This window comes from Homo sapiens, chromosome 7 (genome assembly GCF_000001405.40).
Source record: "Homo sapiens chromosome 7, GRCh38.p14 Primary Assembly".
Classification (NCBI taxonomy): domain Eukaryota; kingdom Metazoa; phylum Chordata; class Mammalia; order Primates; family Hominidae; genus Homo; species Homo sapiens.
Window position 1 is genome coordinate 151,576,208 of NC_000007.14, and position 19,565 is coordinate 151,595,772.

General features: G+C 44.3%; 1 protein-coding gene across 33 annotated transcripts in view, besides 2 other annotated features; it reads right to left on the reverse strand.

Moving 5' to 3' along the window:
• The window catches only part of PRKAG2 (protein kinase AMP-activated non-catalytic subunit gamma 2), a 320,989-nt gene that overhangs the window by 20,081 nt on the left and 281,343 nt on the right, over positions 1–19,565 (reverse strand). For 19 of the 33 annotated variants that reach the window (NM_001407030.1, NM_016203.4, NM_001407021.1 and 16 more), the window contains 2 exons: positions 19,138–19,247; positions 164–245 (listed from right to left, as the gene is read on the reverse strand). In NM_001407030.1, coding sequence (NP_001393959.1) covers positions 164–245; positions 19,138–19,247 — 192 coding nt within the window. The remainder of the gene's footprint in view (positions 1–163; positions 246–19,137; positions 19,248–19,565) is intronic. The other 14 variants (NM_001407031.1, NM_001407023.1, NM_001407022.1 and 11 more) reach the window with 1 other exon arrangement.
• Positions 3,472–3,672: a silencer, noted in NCBI's record as "peak6847 fragment used in MPRA reporter construct". NCBI's record gives its function as "represses an SCP1 promoter by STARR-seq MPRAs in K562 erythroleukemia cells {active_cell/tissue: K562}" and the evidence as "EXISTENCE:reporter gene assay evidence [ECO:0000049][PMID:32103011]".
• Positions 15,888–16,388: an enhancer, noted in NCBI's record as "H3K4me1 hESC enhancer chr7:151289181-151289681 (GRCh37/hg19 assembly coordinates)". NCBI's record gives its function as "activates a minimal SCP1, AML or CMV promoter by ChIP-STARR-seq in primed H9 embryonic stem cells {active_cell/tissue: H9 hESC(primed)}" and the evidence as "EXISTENCE:reporter gene assay evidence [ECO:0000049][PMID:30033119]".

Here is a 19,565-nt window from a genome sequence, read left to right on the forward strand (position 1 = left end):
TGAGATTACGGGCATGGGCCACTGCACCCTGCCAGCAAGAATGTTCTTTAACTTGGAAACATGTTTACTAGGTTGAATTCCAAACCGGCATCTATTAAAATACTTTAGGCTTTCTGCTTTCAAGGTTTCCATTTTCGATTTTCCTCAGGCCCACACTGCTTACCTACAAAACTTTGTTTTTTACTCTCCCACAGTGGCGCTGCTCGGACACCGTTGGCTACCAAAGCAAAGAAGGCCTTTTTAACCTGAAGAAAAAGAGGAGAAACAAAACATACTTTCAAAGTCCAGGAAGAAAAATACCTTTTTTTTTTGAGACAAGGTTTCACTCTGTTGCCCAGGCTGGAGTGCAGTGGCACCATCTTGGCTCACAGCAACCTCTGCTTCCTGGGCTCAATTGATTCTCTCACCTCAGCCTCCCGAGTAGCTGGGATGACAGGCATGTGCCACCATGCCCGGCTAATTTTTGTATTTTTGGTAGAAACAGGGTTTCACCATGTTGGCTAAGCTCGTCTCGAACTCCTGACCTCAAGTGATCCATCCACCTCGGCCTCCCAAAGTGTTGGGATTACAGGCGTGAGCCACCGCACCTGGCCAGAAAAATACCCTTAACATATTTGACCAAGTCTTATCAGTTATCTTCCATAATAAGTTTCGTAAGTTTGATAAGCTAAAAATAATGGAATTTATTAACATTAGCAAAAATCTTTTTGAATTACACCTAAAGGCATACAGGGATTAGAAATTATTTTTTGAAATTGAAATAATGCAATTAACTTCTTTTTTTTTTCTTATTGTATCTGAAGACTCTTGTCTACATACATACTTTATGTAATTAAAACCATACAAAAGAATTAAACTTCAGGGTCTAATATCTCCTACATGTGGTTATTAATTCATCTGAAAACACTGAAGTTGTATCAAATTACCTGAAATAAAAATTTATTTTTAGTATTTTCAATGAGAAAACAAGCATACTTTCTCAGTTCCCAAGGTTGAGGAAAAAAAAAGGTATGAAAGATACAATATATTTTTGCATTTTATACCTTCCAGACACAAATGGGTCAGGCACTAACATATCATATCTCACTTAACACTCATAACAAATATCTTTTGGGATACCATAAGGTATCATACTTGAAGATTTATTAATAACCAAAAGTTCAGTGCTGAAAATGATCCTCTAAATTCAGACAGCAAATAAGTACAGGGAAAATGTCCAACCTTATTAATAACCCAAGAAATGCAAATTAAAACAAAGTGTCATTTGTAGATGCTAAATAAGCCGATATTTTAAAGTTGCAGCTCCTAATACAAGGGCTATTATAAAACCACTGGTGGCACCAAACACTGAGAAAATATTTTTTCTAACACAGCTAGTGTCAAGAATCACAAAGTATTCATATTGCTTGTGCAACAGCTTTTTCTCTTTGAATTATTTTAGGAGTGGGATTCCTGAATCAACAATGTTCCATGTGACATTACTTCTAATCTTGAAAACTGAAAAAAAAATCCACCTCTCAAACAAAACTTATCAAATACTAGCATACCAATGAGAAAAAAAATCAAATAATAATTAACATAATTATGATGTTTTCATAACTATATCAAGAAAGGTCTATGACAATAAAAATGTAACTGTAAAATTATACATTATGATACTTAGAAAAATATGTGTTTAAATGGAAACAATGAGAAACAAGCAAAAAAAGATTAAACTGATACATTAAGAAGCTGGGATAGTAAAATGTTTCTTTAAAAAAAGTGTTACATTATGGTATGGTTATGTTTTTTTTTTTTTAACTAAAAGTAAATTATTCTCTTCTCACTCACTACTCAAAAAAAAACCTTGTTGGCTGGGCACAGTGGCCCACGCCTGTAATCCTAGCACTCTGGGAGGCCCCCCGAGATGGGCAGATCACCTGAGGCCAGGAATTCGAGACCAGCCTGGCTAACATGGTAAAACCTCGTCTCCACTAAAAATACAAAAATTAGCTGGGCATGGTGGCGCACACCTGTAATCCCAGCTACTCAGGAGGCTGAGGCACAAGAATCGCTTGAACCTGGGAAGTGGAGGCTGTAGTGAGCCGAGAACACGCCACTGTACTCCAGCCTGAGTGAAGAGTGAGACTCTGTCTCAAACAAGCAAACAAACAAATGAACAAACAAAACAAACAAAATCCTTGTTAACTTACTAATGAAAACAACTGCAGGAACCTAGAGCAGATGACTTTAGGACTAATAACTTAGTACCTATTTCTTCCTTTATTGTGATATATTTTGCCTTATGTGGAACTGCTCATGCATGTACCTAGTTCACCTACACAAGAATATAGGGACTACTGGTGCGTTGAGGGAGCTCATCAATTATTTCACGCATTTATTTTAACCCGTCCAGCGCTGAGTCCTGAATATAGCAGGGATTCTAGACATTAGTCAAATGACTACAAGAGAATGACGATGAGGAAATGAGTAGAGCCAACCCAGTGATGTGGGAGAGCAACAGTAACTGAGCAGCATCCAGAAACTCATGAACTGTTTCTGAAACACACCTTTATCAAAAAGGCACCAAAATACACTGCTTTTGTAACTAAATGGCATCCAGGAAAGGTGTGCCCATTTGAATGGTTTGCTATTTGTACCCTGGGCATCTCTGATTGTGGTCCTAGAATATATTATAGAAGAATATAGTGGAAAAGTCGCATGTAAATAGATTTTAAAACACACTGAATATCTGGTAAGTTTGCTTTTCTAAACTGGTTGGAATAGAATGGGAATGGGGGCACCTTTTATGTTTTATTTGTATTTATTTATTTTTTTTGGAGACAGGGTCTCACTTTTTCACCCAGGCTGAAGTATAGTGGTACCTTGGCTCATTGTTTCCTCACTGCACCCCTCCCCGCTGCCCCTGCCGGGCTCAAGTGATTCTCCCACCTCAGCCTTCCAAGTAGCTGGGACCACAGGCACATGCCACCATGTCCAGATAATTTTTTTTCTTGTAGAGGCAGGATCTTGCTATGTTGCCCAGACTGGTCTCAAACTCCTGGGCTTAAGTGATCCTCCTGTCTTGGCCTCCCAAAGTGTTAGGATTACAGGCATGAGCCACTGCACCTGGCCAGGGGCATCTTTTAAAAGCACAAATTGCTTACTGTTTTCTTCAAAATGACAGATTTAGCAGAGAAAATAAATGTTAAAAACATTCATGAGGATCATTCATGAAACCCTAAGTAGCCATAGCTATTGAAAACCTATGCCAGAAAGTTCTGAGTTTGGCATAATGAAACAGTTGAAAACAACTATCCAAGTTGTACAAAAGACAGGAAACACTATTTGAGGGCCCTGGAGTGCATCAACACGGGGTGGATTCTGGGAGCTACAATTCTTGAAAGAAAAGAAGGCTATGCATTGAGCATCACATTCATTCTGGAATTTTTCTGAGGGCATTTCCCACATCATCTGCACATAGGTCAATTTCAACAAGAAGCTGAAATTTATCAAGAAGAATCAAACAAATCCCAGGTAAGATAAACACAAAGAAAACCACACCTAAGCACGTCATAGACAAGATGCTAAAAACCAAAGGTAAAGGGAAAATCAGCTAGAGGGGGAAAAGACACATTGGCTTTCAAAAGGGTAACAAGCAGGCTGACGGCTGACTTTCCAGCAGAAACTATGAAAGTCAGAAGACAAGAGAAAGAAAACTTTAAGATGCTAAAATAAAAAACCTGCCAATCTAGGTTAGAGCATATATCCAGTGAAGATATCCTTCAAAAAGGATTGGCAAAGTAAGGTTTTTTGGATTAAAAAAGCAGAGAAAATTGTCACCAACCAACCAGCATTAAGAAATACTTAAGGGAGGCCAGGTGCACTGGCTCATGCCTGTAATCCCAGCACTTTGGGAGGCCAAGGTGGGGGGATCACTTGAGGTCAGGAGTTCAAGACCAGCCTGGCCAACGTGATGAAAAAACCCCATCTCTACCAAAAATACAAAAATTAGTCGGGTGTGGTGGTGCGCACCTGTGATCCCAGCTACTTGGGAGGCTGAGGCAGGAGAATCACTTGAACCCAGGAGGTGGAGGTTGCAATGAGCTGAGACCATGCCACTGTACTCCAGCCTGGGTGACAGAGTGAGACTCCATCTCAAAAAAAATAAAAAATACTTAAGGAGTCCTCTGCACTGAAGGAAAGATTCTAGACCTGCACAGAACCGTAGGAGGGAACAAAGAGCACAGGAGAGGGCAGAGATGTAGGTGAACATAAATCAATACTGCATAAAGCCAGAGTAATGATATCCTGTGGGATTCATAACTTATATAGAAGCAAAATATATAACAATAGCACATAGGGTAGGAGACGGTTTAACTTTTGTATACATTTTTTGCATTGTTTGGGACTTGGTAAAATTATTATTAAAAGATGGAAAGTAGTAAGTCAAAGATGCTATGTAATCTGTAAGACAGCCTCTGAAAGATCAACAAAAGAATGTATAACTAAGTTCACATGTTCTCATCCATTTGTGGGAGCTAAAAATGAAAACAACTGAACTCATGGAAATAGAGAGTAGAATGATGGTTACCAGAGGCTGGGAAGGGAGGGTAGTGGGGGTGGGTGCGGGGAGGAAGTAGGGGCAGTTCATGGATAAAAAAATGTAGTTAGATAGAATGAATACGGTCTAGTATTTGATGGCACAGCAGGGTGACTACAGTCAACAATAATTTATTGTACATTTAAAAATAACCAATAATTGGGATGTATGTAATGTAAAGAAATCATAAATGCTTGAGGTTATGGACACCCCATTTATCCTGATGTGATTATACAATGTATGCCTGTATCAAAATATTTCATGCACCCTATAAGTATATACACATACTATGTACCCATAAAAATGAAAAAAGAATGTATAACTAAAAAGCTAGCAGAGGAGAAAAATGGGTTAAACATAGTTTGTTAAATCGAGTGAAGAAGGAATAAAAGAACAAATCAATAGAAAAAGTGAAAAACGCATAGCAAAATGGTAGACAAACCTAACTATAGCAGTAACTGCATGAAATGAAAATGGACTAAACGGTAATTAAATGCTATTCTAGGCATTTATTGCATGGTTTAATTGCAATTGTCAATACAGAAAGTAAACGAACCTTGTCTATGACCTAAGTCCTAGGATCCTATCAAGGACTGCCTTTCTCTAATAAGGGCCAATGAGTCCAATGGATCTAAACCATAGATGAGACCACGTGAGAGCCAAACAAGAGGGCTTCCTTCAGTGGACACATTTCTAGAAGCTTCTGGCAGAGACTATTGTATCCAGCTTCAAGACATAAATGACTGAGCACAGTGGACATCTACACACAAAAATCTCTGGTCAAATAGTGTAATAATTTAAAAAAACCCAAGAATAAATATTGCTATTAGCTTAGTTTGTGAATATTTTGATATTTTGATATTTAATGTTTACACCTTGTACAAATGATCACATATAGATCCAACAGATTTAATGGACATTTTTACACTACAGTGAGCCTCATCACACCTCAGGCTTAAAAGAATGATACCAACAAAAGCAGGGGTTTAAGTTTAACACTCAAATATGATGATTATTACTTCAGACTCAGAAAAAAACATCCTGCTTCCCCATAATAAATTCTCAGACTAATCTGCTACAAAAGCGTTCAGCCCCCAAAATGCTGCAGATACTGTTTACGGTGAGGCCACTGTGAACAACACAAACAGGAAATAACTGCCTAACACCAATTCTTAAGGTGGCAAATACATGTATGGGAAAGTATACGGGGTAATAATACAGACGTTAGAAACTGATCACGCGTGCTGAATCAAGTTAATTCTGAGATGAAAGACACTGATGCTGCGTGGTCAATGGCAGGGAGGGATGGAGGGAGGAATTAATTAATTTCAGACAGTATCGGTCCAACAGAGGGATCGATGTATGTATGTACGTATGAATGACAGGGTCTCGCTCTGTTGCCCAGGCTGGAGTGCAGTGGCAGGAACATGGCTCACTGCAGTCTCAACCTCCTGGGTTCAAGTGATTCTCCCACCTCAGCCTCCTGAGTAGCTGGGACCACAGGTGCACACCACCACAGCTAGCTTTTTATTTTGTTATTTTTTGTAGAGACAGGGTCCGGTTATGTTGCCCATGCTGGTTTGAACTCCTGAACTCAAGTGATCCTCCTGCCTCTGCCTCCCAAAGTGCTGGGATTCCAGGGGTAAGCCACCTCCCCCAGCCCAATGGCAAGGTTTATAGAGAGAAAAGCCCCAGTGAAGCAGCAGTTCAATGGCAAAGAGAACGTTAAGAATTTAACGTGCAAAGTGGTATCTCTTCTGCAACAGAAGATAAAACAACCAAGGCTCACGGAAGCACGTGGAGTGAATTAAGAGGCCATCCCACTTCTTGTCAACGAGCTAAGGTGCTACACCTACTGGACTTCAACTTCTCGTTTTCCACATAAAATGTGTATCTCTACAGAACAGGGACACTGCTTCATTTCTCAAACTGAAATCATAAGCACAGCAGCTCACTTCGTTTTTCTGATGGCCTCAAGCACCAAGGCTTTCTCGCGGGCTCCTTGGCCCGTGCCAGCTGTGTGGTGGCTGCTCAGTCACTTAACCCTCTGTGAGCCTCAACATGCTGTTATAAAATGGGGCTAATGGATATTTCCTCACAGGTGTAGGGTGTGGATTGAATAGGCTAGTATTTGAAGATGTTCAGTATGGTGCTCAGCACTAACAGCCAAGAAGAACAAATGCTTAAAATTTCCAGTCTATACTGACCAAACCAGAAGCCAACAGAAATTTCTTCTTTTTTTCACTTTGGAGACAGGGTCTTACTCTGTTGCCCAGGCTCAAGTATAGTGGTATGATCACGGCTCACTGCAGCCTCAACCTCGTAGGCTCAAGTGATCCTTATGCCTCAGCCTCCTGAGTAGCTGGGATCACAGGCATATGCCACCATGCTCAGCTAATTTTTAAATCTTTTTGTAGAGATGGGGTTTTGCCATGTTGCCCGGGCTGGTCTCAAACTCTAGGCCTCAAGTGATCCTCCTGCTTCAGCCTCCCAAAGTGCTGGGATGAAAGATTTATTCTTTTAATTTCATCCACATACACTGTTGACCTGTCCGCAGGTCACTGAGGAAGTCTCAATTCCATCCTTCAGAGATCTCATATAATATTCCAAACGGACATGATACTCGTACAATGCATTAAAGAGCAGTGTCCTGGGTGAGCTCGGGAGGGGCCTGACGCTTCTGTGGTTTTGCCGACCTTCTTTGCAATAACGAGGCCTTCTAAAACTTGGCTTTCTTAAGAACACGTGCATGGAGCTGTTTATAAAGCAATTTAAAATCATACTTGGAAAATTCTCCATAATTATAGACGGCACAGGGTGTTCCAATTAACCAATAAACAGGATACAAAGAGGACTAACACAATCTAGTTCTAATTTGCAGGAAGAAACCGCTCAGGGATCTTGAGTACCTTTGAAAATTTCTTTCCTTTTAACTGATACGCAATTTGCTCAAACTATGATTAATTTTAAAGTTTACATTTTAATAGGATTTTCAACACATTTCAAAGCAAATGTGATAATTAGATAAGAAAAGATGGGAAATAAAATGTTCATAGGTAAGTTTTTAGAATAGTGAGCAGGCCCGAGCTGCTCTAAGAGACTCTGGCAGTCTATACCAAGGAGAACATCTGTGTTCCCCAGAATGGGAAGCTGGTTCCTCTGATGCCTCACTGCTTTCTACACAGCTTCACTCTGATTTTCAGTAATTAAGTTGACTGTGAAGCTTTTAAAATTAACGCTGATATCTACTGCGTCAAGAAGGGTCCAGCTTCTGAAATACGGTCGTCGAGACTCTTCTCCGTCCAGGCCCAGGCCTCCCTTGCCAGCTGCATGACTCCCTCCTCCCTGAACTCATCTTCCATGCCCCTCCAAGCCCCAGTACTCCTTCGACTTCAGAAGAACAGTTGCCCACCATTGCCATGGAAGGACTGTTTTCTGGAGGAAATGCACTGCTCCAGAAATAAAACAGACATAGGAACATGGGGCCTCCAATGAAAAAGATGGCTGGCTTACTGCTCTTCAGTGAAGCCCACCAAGCAAGAAGCCCACCTGTGAACTTGGTATGTCCATGCCAACTGTTAGCAGTCACTCTTAATTATGAATGAATGGGCAGCCATCTGACAGGGCCTTGAACGCTGAAGTCACACAAGTCCCAGTTTTACACAGATCTCACTAGAAGGGTTAGGAAAAAAAAAATCTTCCAAAAAGTGGAATGAAAAGAAAAATTGAAAAAACAATGGGAAAAGAATATTAAAGATCAACTCGGGGGTCTCAGAGCTGCTCACTGAAGTTCCGGAGAAAAGCAAGCACTGGGAAGAAAATGATTGAGGAAAGAATGCAAGGAAGGCTAGGCACAGTGGCTTCGGGAGGCCGCAGCGCTGAGGATCGCTTGAGCCTCGGGGTTCAAGACCCAGCTGGGCAACATAGCAAAACCCTGCCTCTACAAAAAATAAAATAATTAACTGAATGTGGTGGTGCACGCCTGTAGTCTCAGCTACTTGGAAGGCTGTGGCAGGAGGATCGCTTGAGCCCAGGAACTGGGGGCTGCAGTGGGCTGTGACTGCACTACCATACTCCAGCCTGGGTAACACAGTGAAACCCTATCTCTAAAATAAATAAATAAATAAAAATTCTAAAAAAGAAACAACGCAAGGACCAGAGAACTGGATACTAGGAGTGTCAGGTTCTAGCGGGACGTCACCTGCCCGGCACCATGAACTGACCACAAGACACATGATGATGGAATTTTAGGGTACCAGGTAGAAAGCGAGAGCCACAAAAGCTTCAGAGGGGAAAAATAAAATCATATATAAAGGCTGGGGATTTTAAAAAAGCATCAAATTTCTCTCGATCAGCACTGGTAGCTAGAAGAAATGGAATGATATTAGTACCTTCACAATTCTTAATAAAAATGATTTCTGTTATAGAATTCTAGACATAGCAGTCTACAGGTTGAACGTAAGTGATATATAAAATTTCAAGTAATACATTCCCACGCATCTTTTCTTGGGAGGTTTTATGGACTCAGTGTGTTTGGTTCAACGGCTCAACAGGTTGTTTCTGTGGAATATGACAAGAGTAAGGCACAGGAGCAAGAGACTATGTCTTTATTGTCAGTTTTTTTGGTACCACTTGACAGAAATTGTTAATATGTGCTTTGAAAAACTCTCAGCCACTAGTCTGCTCTGCTCCAGCACATTCCCGAGCACGAGCCCATGTGTGGCAGGGCTTGCCATTCTCCCTCCCTGTTCTCAGCCCGTTTTCATCTTTTTAGAATATTCACATGCTCTCATCTCTTCTGTCCTTGATGCCATATCAAGTGATCCTATGTATAAATTTTGCCTACTGAGGAATCTTTCTGCGTTTCGATTATTATCAGCTATCCCACCTGGTTTCAAGTCATCTGTAAATTAGATGATGCCATCAATGAAATCAATATTCAAGTCATTGTTCCAAAGCTGAAGAGCGTGGGGCACAAGAATGCTCTGGCGTACCCCCAGTTTCTCAGCTGGGGCTCCCCAGAAGGCAGAGTGTATTTGGGAATGTGATGCCAGGGAGCAGAAGTACAGGAAGGGAGGAAGGAGACGGGTGGGCGGGTGAGTCAGCGCAGGACGCGTTCCTGAGCTGCCGCCGCAGAGCCCACTGATGCTGATGCCAGTGGGATCTTCCTAGGACTGCATGTAGCTGCTAGCTTCTATCCTCCCCTGGCGGAGGAAGCTGGGGTACATGGGATGGTCCTGGGCTGAGGGCCGTCCCACTGCCCCTGCACAGAGTGAGGAGTGCTGGACTATGAGTTGATGTGAATGGATTTGGAAATGGCCCACGAGAGGCATCCAACACAATTAGAAACCTTGCTCCAGGTGTTGACTGAGATTTAAATATTAATTGATCTGCTTGGCTGCCAAGCTGCAGCTCTGCATCTCATCCTCTGGGACCTCGTGCCAGGCTCTGCCAGCCTACTCTAGCTGGAATCCAGACGTGCCTGTCATGGCACGGCCGTCTACGCAACAGCCACAAAAGAAAGGCAGGTGAATCTCCTGTAAATTTTTTTTTTGGTCAATTCATGACCGATTCCATTCATTCATAAATCTCAGCTGGGATTGATACTACATTCCCCAGCCTCTGCTTTTTGAGAAATCTATCTGCTCTTTCCTTTTATCTCTGGCCTCCGAAATCAGACCTCTTCTCCGCAACTCCTCCAATATCACGAACAGGTTAGGAATCTCCTTTGTAAGTTCCCTTTAATGCTAGAATGTGATTCATCTGGATCAGAAATGAGATGTGGTTCATGCTGACAGGTGCTCTCCGCAACTATTGTGGGCTTTAGTTTCCTCGAATCACTATTACTTTACCTCTTCCACTTTGAAGATCATTTTCCTTGATAATGAACAAAGTACAGTTTGAGCTGAGCAGTTCTGTTTTCTCTTTATTGACATCAGCAGCATCAGCCTGGAACAATAGGACCGGGGCTTCTCTTTCCTTCCTGCTTTTAAAATAATCAAGCGCCCCTTCCCTTTGTGCCTCTTAATTTTAACACTAAACTAGGATTGTCCTGGGCAGCTCCCTCCTATTCAAGCTTTCCTTTTACTTTACTTTTGATCATGTGCTCTGCATTCTGTATTCTCTACTCATTCTTCAAGGTGGGTGGATCACTTGAGGTCAGGAGTTCGAGACCAGACTGGCCAACACGGTGAAACCAAGCCTTTACTAAAAATACAAAAGTTAGCTAGGCGTGTTGTTGCCCGCCTGTAATCCTAGCTTCTCGGGAGGCTGAGGTGGGAGAATCGCTTCAAGTGAGCCGAGATTGCGCCACTGAACTCCAGCCTGGGCGACAGAGCGAGACTCTGCCTCAAAAGAAAAAATAGTGCTTGGCAAACAGCCACTTATTTGGATACTTGCTTGTTTTTTTGTTGGCATTATTCAAAATCACATTGCCTGGAATAATGTAAAGAACAAAATGAAGTTGTTCTGGATTATAACCCAAAAATAAATATCCATAAATCCATACTGAAATAGATGACTGAATAAACAAACAGATGGAGAAGGGACAAATCTCCCTTGCAGAAAAATCCCAACTAACTCACGTAGCTGCTCAGCCCTCACGGAGGTGAAGCGTCACTCCCCATGGCTAAGTGTGGGCTGTACGTGGTGACTTCCTTCTTGGGACTATGGCATGGAAAGGAGGAAGAAGAATCATCTCATGGTGGAAAAACCTGGCACACCTCAGCCAGGTAATGGAGAGTGGTAAGTCACACAGGCAGTAAGCACCCTGGAGACGGTATGATGAAAAGGGCACTTTACCTCTCTCTGGTCTTTCTCCTCCAAAGCCACATGCCCAGTCTAATCATGATAAATCATCATGCAAATCTCAGTAGAGGGCATTCTGGAAAATACCTGACCAACACTCCTCAAAACCGTCAAGGTGTCAAACACAGGGAGTACCTGTCTGAGAAGCTGTCCCACCTAAGGAGGCATGATGACGAGACGTGATGGGGTAACCTAGATGGGATCCTCCAACAGAAAACGGCATTATGCAAAAACTAAGGAAATCTGAAGAAAGCATGGACTTTAGCAAATAACCATGTATCAATATTGGTTCATTAACTGGGACAAATATAGACCACACTAACGCAAGATGTCAAAATTCAACTGGGTGTGGGGTATATGTAAATTCTCTGCACTAGCTTTGCCATGTTTCTGTACATCTAAAACTCTTATAAAACACTTGTTAAAAAAAAAAGCTATCATTTGTAGAGTATTGCTAAAAGAAGTTACATTGCCACTGTGAGGAAAAGCCTGGATCATTCCTAATGCTTCCCCCCACCAATCCTAGGGTGTGAGGATTCCATTATGAAGTTTTATTTATTTTTGGGCCTCTCATAATTCTCGAGGTGTCATCTTTTGGAATCACTAACTGATGTGGTTTGGCTGTGTCCCCACCCAAATCTCATCTTGAATTGAAGCTCCCATAATTCCCACGTGTCATGGGAGGGACCCAGTGGGAGGTAACTGAATCATGGGGGGGAGTCTTTCCCATGCTGTTCTCATGATAGTGAATAAGTCTCACAAGATCTGATTTTTTTTTTTTTTAAGACAGATTCTTGCTCTGTCGCCCAGGCTGGTGTGCAAGTGGTGCAATCTTGGCTCACTGTAACCTCTGCCTTCTGTGTTCAAGCGATTCTCCTGCTTCAGCCTCCCAAATAGCTGGGACCACAGGTACCCAACACCAAGCCCAGCTAATTTTCGTAATTTTAGGAGGACGGTTTCGCCATGTTGGCCAGGCTGGTCTCAAAATCCAGGCCTCAAGTGATCCACCTGCCTCGGCCTCCCAAAGTGCTGGGATTACAGGCGTGAGACACCGCACCCAGCGATCTGATGGTTTTATAAAGAGGAGTTCCCCTGCACAAGCTCTCTCTGCTTGCCGCCATCCATATAAGACATGACTTGCTTCTCCTTGCCTTCCACCATGATTGTGAGGCCTCCCCAGTCACGTGGAACTGTGAGTCCATTAAATCTCTTTTCCTTTATAAATTACCCAGTCTCAGGTATGTCTTTATTGGCAGCATGAAAACAGGCTAATACACTAACTGATACCTATCTTTCTCTGAATTCCTGGGCTTATCTGGAAGGGAAGGGGATGTCCCCCCTCTCTACTGTGCCAGTCATGAAGTTACTGTCTCTCTGCTCCATGCCCATCCCTCTAACTTGGCTTGGTGATGCTGGGACTTTGCAGACCCTGTTTCGGTGTTGCCAACTGGCTCTATTTCAGGTTCTGACAATACAGGAGTCTAGGGAGGGACTCAAAGCCAGAGCAGGAAGAAGGGCTTGCTCCTCCCGTCAGCGGCTAGCAGGGCTCCTGTCTGCCTGCAGCTCCCGTGAGCTCCACCCAGGCACTGCCTTACCTGGGCACCGAGGCACCTCCTGTAGCAGCGGCTGAATACAGTTTGTTGTTTTCCCATTTTGTGCAAAATGAGCTTCCTCAAGCCCCAACTCCCACCCAGAGACATAAGCACCAGCTAGAAGGCACGCGCCAGGACCCCCTCTCCTCCACGACACTGTGGAGTACACCAGACTCACACAGCATCATGGTGAAACATGGGTCACTGAGCCTCATCCCCCCGTTTTGGATTCGGGTCTCAGATTGGGTCTGATGAGCTGCGTTTTTAAAAGTTCCAGCTGATGCTGAAGCTGCTAGTCTGGGAATCAGACTTTGAGAACACTGCCTTAGAGGTCTTTATTTGTCCTTTCAGTTACCAGTTAATTTAGATCCAGTTAACATTTGCTTATGTTCTTTTTCTGTTCAAATAACTGGTGTGGCTTCTGTCTCCTGACTGAACCTTGACTGATCAAGAAACTGGCACCACGGCCGGGCACGGTGGCTCACACCTGTAGTCCCAGCACTTTGGGAGGCTGAGGCGGGCAGGTCAAGAGGCCAGGAGTTTCAGGCCAGCCTGGCCAACAAAGTGAAACCCCATCTCTACTAAAAATACAAAAAATTAGCCAGGTGTGGTAGTGGGTGCCTGTAATCCCAGCTACTCAGGTGGGTGAGGCACAAGAATTGCTTGAACCTGGGAGGCAGAGGTTGCAGTGAGCCAAGATCGTACCACTGCACTTCAGCCTGGGTGACAGAATGAGACCCTGTCTTTAAAAAAAAGAAGAAGAAGAAGAAAAAAGAAACTGCCAAGACTGGTTCCCAGGAACAGAGGACTTGGAATTGGTTTCCCATCCATGGGTTTAACACAGTGTTGAGCTCTTTGTCAGTGGGAAATCAGATTCCTGTAATCCAGGGCAGGCCATGGCATTGTGACTAAAAAAGCCATCATCTGTGCCTGTGATGACATTTGTGTGCCAGGGCCCACATGGCCACTGCACTGGCCACTGAGGCAGAAGCCAGGACCAAAGGACTCAGTATGACAGCATTCTGTGAGTGCGCTGGGGCCTCTGAGAAAACCTCAAGCCCAGGTCTGGGACCTGCACCCACAGACAGAGAACCCAACAAGCCTCTATGGCAGTCCCCAGAGAGTCTATTTCTTGTAGCTACAGGGCTGTTTCCAAAATCAAACACAAAGCATAACTCTGCGGGGTGTGGATGCACAGGCGGAATTGGTGGCATCACCAGGTTTGATGGGAAAGCTGGGCATGGATCTGGAAGGAGTGGGACCCTGGCACCGGACAGAGGGACATCTGACTGGACTCAGATGAAGCTGAGATTCCAGATTCGGGAGTTCCTCCGAGCCTCCCATGGCAGTGGGAACAGCTGGCTCCCCAGTGTCTGAGAATCACCTTTCTTTACTCGAAAGCCCAGTGACAGGCTTTCCTAGGGCAGACGCCTAGCGTGGGCCTCTCACCCTCCCACCCTTGCCACCCCTTGACCTGTAACTGGGGACAGGTTTCCGCATGCTGCAGGGGAGGAAACCACTTATATGCAAAACAAACTGTGAGATCTTGCCATTTCACAGCTGCAGAAACCGAAGAAGTATGTATGGGAATAGGTGCTAGTAACGTTAGGACAAAGACGAGAAATTTAACACTAGTTTGGTGGGACTGATTGCTATGAGTGGTCTTATGAGAAATTGTTCATTAACATTTTGTGCACGCAGCCGGCAGTGGCTCTAACCGCTCACTTGGTTGACTGCCTGAAGTGCAGGGCACTGCTGAGTCCGTGTTTAATGAGGCTGAGATGCCAGGCTTCTGTGGCACAGTGAACTATACAGGAGGAATCCACAGGCTTCGGGAGACAGGGGCATTGGCACGGATTTGTCATGTGCCACCTGCACATTCCATACCCAGAGGACACTCCCTCCTGGAGCCCCTGAGGAATGTACAGGTGAGGGGCCCCTTCAATAGGAAAAGTGAACTTGTCACTGCAGCAGCTGTTCCCAATGTAGTATCTTGGGGGACCCACAGCCCCTGCCTGGACACATACTCCTTTTCTCTATACCAATCTACAAGGACCCCTAGACGGAGTCTGCTTTACCTGGCAACAGGATACTTTCACCCGTGTGTCTCAAGGCTGCGGCACCCCCGCTCTCTACCTTATTATGGTCTGCAGAGAAGCTGGCCATCTTCACACTGCACACTGCCACACTGGCCCATGCGCTGATAGCGGTGTGGGCTGGACTAGACAGGCAGGAAGTAGCAGAGCTCTAGGTGCCTCTGTGAGATATGTGCCGGGCAGAGCATGAGGGACAGACCCCGCAGAACCGGGGGTCTCACACCCCAGAACGGCCTGAAACACTGGAGACACCCCTCCAATGGGAGCTTCAAGTTGTCACTCCACACTCCACCTGCCACTGCAACCACCAGGCAGGTGTTTTGGAGGCAACATGCACCACATGTGTACGTGCTACTCTGACACCGGTACTGAGTGACACTAAAAGCTGTTTTCAGAGAGGCCCAGGGCACGATCAGGCATGTGGCAAGTCCAGGCTGCTCTTCTGTGTGGCCTTAGGACCCAGCAAGGTTGATATTAGGGGTGCTGTAGGAAGCCTCCACCAAAAGGAAATTTACAGAGCAGACATTGAGGGTTTTGAGGGAAGATTAACCCCAAAACAACCATGCCTTCTCCTGCAGATAATGACTCTCCCGCTGGGAAACAGTTCCTGGCCGACTGCACCAGGCCCTTATAGAGACCAAACAAGCTAGCCACGAGATGCGGAGACCATGCAACCTGAGCTCCCCATCACGAACAGGGAACTACTAGGCCCCCCAAGCCGAATGCTGAGCATGCACAGCGACCCTCTCTCGCCAGGCCGAGACGGGGCTCGCCCAGGCCTGTGAAGTACATGGACACTGCATGGGTACATGATGCAGCTGCTCTGACACCGGTGCCTCCCCTACCTCGATCCACACCCAGACTCGGGGGAGCTCCTTATGAGCCACTGACTGATGGAGAAAAAGCTGGGCTTGGTTTACAGGTGCTTCTCCTGCTGGGCTGGCCCCTGCTGGCACTGCACAGTGTGGCTCTTGAGGACAGTGGGGATTACATCCCCCAGCAGGCAGACCTCCCAGTTGGACATTTGATTTCCACTTTATCAGGACTGAGATGGCCAGGACATATCTACATGGATCCCCAGGGTGATTCCAGTATTAAACCGAGGGGAATCTCATGGAACCCAACTGCAGGGAGTCCAGTCGGCCTCTCAAGAGACCGAAGATGGAAGCAGAAAAGCCAAGCCCGAGACTGCTCTTCCCCCTCATTCTGGTGGCACACCCTCGCATTCTGCTCTCCTCTCATTGGCTCTGTTCTACTCCTGTCTGCGCACACTCTTTCAGCTTCCCTGCAAGTGGCTCGCCTTGGTCCCTAGAGCAGTTACGGCTCTGATGACGTCGTATCCTCAGAGTAACGTGGTCATTTTGAGTACTGTTCTGCAGCTTACTTTTTCTTTTCCTAATCAATGAATCAATGAATATACTCTTGACAAACATTTTCTCCATTATGCAGTATTCTATTATATGCCTATGCGAGGATTTATTTAACTGGTCTCTTAGGTTGTTTTGGGTACGCGGCTATTTTGTTTGCTTTCTTAGCTCTTGAGGGTGTGTCAATGGCTATTACTGCAGCCTGTGTCTAGAAAATACTCAAATCACCCCTTTTCAAATACATCTTTTTACCTTGACTTAACCAATGCCAAACAACTCTCTCCCCCTATTTCCATGGTAATGCATCTCAGCTCCTCTCAACTTAGAGGCTCACAGGATAAACGGCTTCCCGGAGATGATGCTCACAGCTCCTCTTAATTACGGAAGTGATATTTACTGGATCAGTCACCTTGGACATCCATAAGGCATTGCATTTTTCATGTATTACTCACTTGACTTTCTCTAGGGTTTAGCCAAAATGAGTAATACATGGAAAGCTGGGTAAAAGTCAAATCAGCTGTTACTTGTTATTATTATTTTTTGAGAGTCTTGCTTTGTTGGAGTCTTGCTCTGTCATCCAGGCTGGAGTGCAGTGGCACAATCTCGGCTCACTGCAGCCTCCGCCTCCTGGGTTGAAGCGACCCTCCCGCCTCAGCCTCCCGAGTAGCTGGGACTACAGGTGACTTCTACCACACTCGGCTAATTTTAATTTTTGTATTCTTAACAGAGACGGGGTTTCACCATGTTGGCCAGGGTGGTCTTGAACTCCTAACCTCAAGTGATCTGCCCGCCTTGGCCTCCCAAAGCGCTGGAATTACAGGTTTGAGCCACTGTGCCCGGCCTACTGTCGCTTATTTTTAAGTTGGTAGAAATGCCGGTGGTCAGAAAATCTGGTATTTTAAAAAGTAAACCTTCTGGGGGATGGGCGTGAGGCTGAAATAGGTTGAGCCAGTAGTTCCTTTATTTTGGGAATTCAGAACTTCTCATTATTTTGTTATTGAAACATGTAGTCACAGTTCTCGAGACCGCATCTCTTAAAACAACTGCCTACTGTTTTCCCTACTATAAGATTGTATTTGGATGCTTCCTTCTTTGTGTCAAATAATCAAGAATCTTAGGGTTTTAAAAGTGACTCTGAAGGTTACCTGGTCCAAAGTGAACTCAGCAAAGAACATAAAGCCAATTTGCAAAAATCAATTGTATTTCCATACGTTAACAAGAAACAATTGGAAAATGAAATTAAACAAAAGCAAAGTCATTTTTGGTCATCCTGTAAGTCCTGGGTGGCAGGCACAGAATACAGGTAAGGGGCTCCAAGAGCCCGGGGAGCCCTCTGAGGACGCACGGCAGGTGTGGGGCATGGGAACAGAAGCAGGCCACACCTGGGGGTCCCTGGGGAGGTCTAAAGGGCCTGGTGGAGCAGGAAGAGCCTGGAAGGATCATCTAAGGCAGGGCTATGGGAGGGGGTGGATACACTCCAGGGCACCTTTCAGCTGGTGCTCCCGAAGGCTCAGGCTGAGGCAGCCCTTCCAGGGCCCTTGCTGGGTGTCTTCCCCTGCCCTGCTCTTCCTCTGATCCCTTCATGCTTCCTCCTGGGAGTGCATCCTTCATAAACCCATGAATTCTTGGTTTAGCATTTACTTCTGAGGAACTCGACTGAGGACAATCCTACTTGGAAAATATTTATGTAGAAACAATACACTAAATGTATACGCACAGATATGTGTGTAGACACCCATTTGATTACACTGAATGTAGTTTGATCACGGTATTGAGTATATTATTTAGGACTTTTTGTATGTGATTATAAGTTACATTGATATAAAGTAAGTTGCAATACGCATAATTTTAATACCAAAATGTTAAGATTCAAATTTTCTGGGAAAAGAGATCGGTAAGGTTCTTCTTTCAAAAGATTGCCCATTTTTGTGATTTTCTTCTTTTTTACCAATATTATTTCAAATTTATCATATGTTCTACTAAATAACTAAGAAAGACCATGAGGATATACTGAGCGAGGCCATACAGTTTAATAATGAACAGCTTAGGTTCTAACACACATTAGACAGGCCTGTGTTCAAAACCCCATCTTGTACTAGCTCTGTGGATTAGGTCCTTAAATTCCACAACAACTTGTGGACTAAGCTTTCTTTTTCTTTTTTTTTTGAGATGGAGTCTCACTCTGTTGCCAAGCTGGAGTGCAGTGGCACAAGCTCGGCTCACTGCAACCTCTGCCTCCTGGGTTCAAGCGACTCTCCTGTCTCAGGGTCCTGAGTAGCTGGGACTACAGGCATGCACCACCACACCCGGTTAATTTTGTATTTTTAGTACAGATGGTGTTTCATCACGTTGGCCAGGCTGGTCTCCAACTCCCAACCTCAGGTAATCTGCCAGCCTCGGCCTCCCAAAGTGCTGGGATTACAGACGTGAGCCACTGCACCTGGCCAAAGCTTTCTGACTTAAGTTCTTAAACTCTATAATTTGAGCTTCCCTGTCTTTAGGAAGAAGACAGTAATAGCACATTTCTTATAAGGTTGCCAAGATGTTGAGAATTCAGATAAAACCTCAGCACAGTGCCCGATAGTGCAAAGGACTCAATAAACGTTTGCTGGCATTGCTGGTTTTAAATTACTGTATAAAGTAGTAGCCATCCAAAAAATACCAAAAAATTCATGAAAATGGAGTACACTTACTTGTAATGTAGTATCAAAGACAACAAGCTTTGAACTGGTTGGAACGATGTCATAACACTTGTGTGACCTCATGAATCGCATGTAAACACCACTTTCTGAGTCTTCTACTGCTAAAAGAAAAAAAGGCAAAACATCAGTAATAATAAAGAATTCCCTCAATCGGATGAAGAGCATATACGTAAACCTATCACTAACAGACTTAATGGTAAAATACGAAATGTTTTCCCAGTATGATCAAGGGCCAGGCAAGGATGCTCACTCTCACTAATTCTATGAACACTATATTGGAGGTCCCAGATGGTGAAATAAGGCAAGAGAAAAAAATGAAAGGCATACATGTTGAAAAGGAAAAAGCAAAACTGTCTTTATGTGCACACTGTATGATTTTCTACATAGGAAATACCAAAGAATCTAGAAAAAGTTCCTAG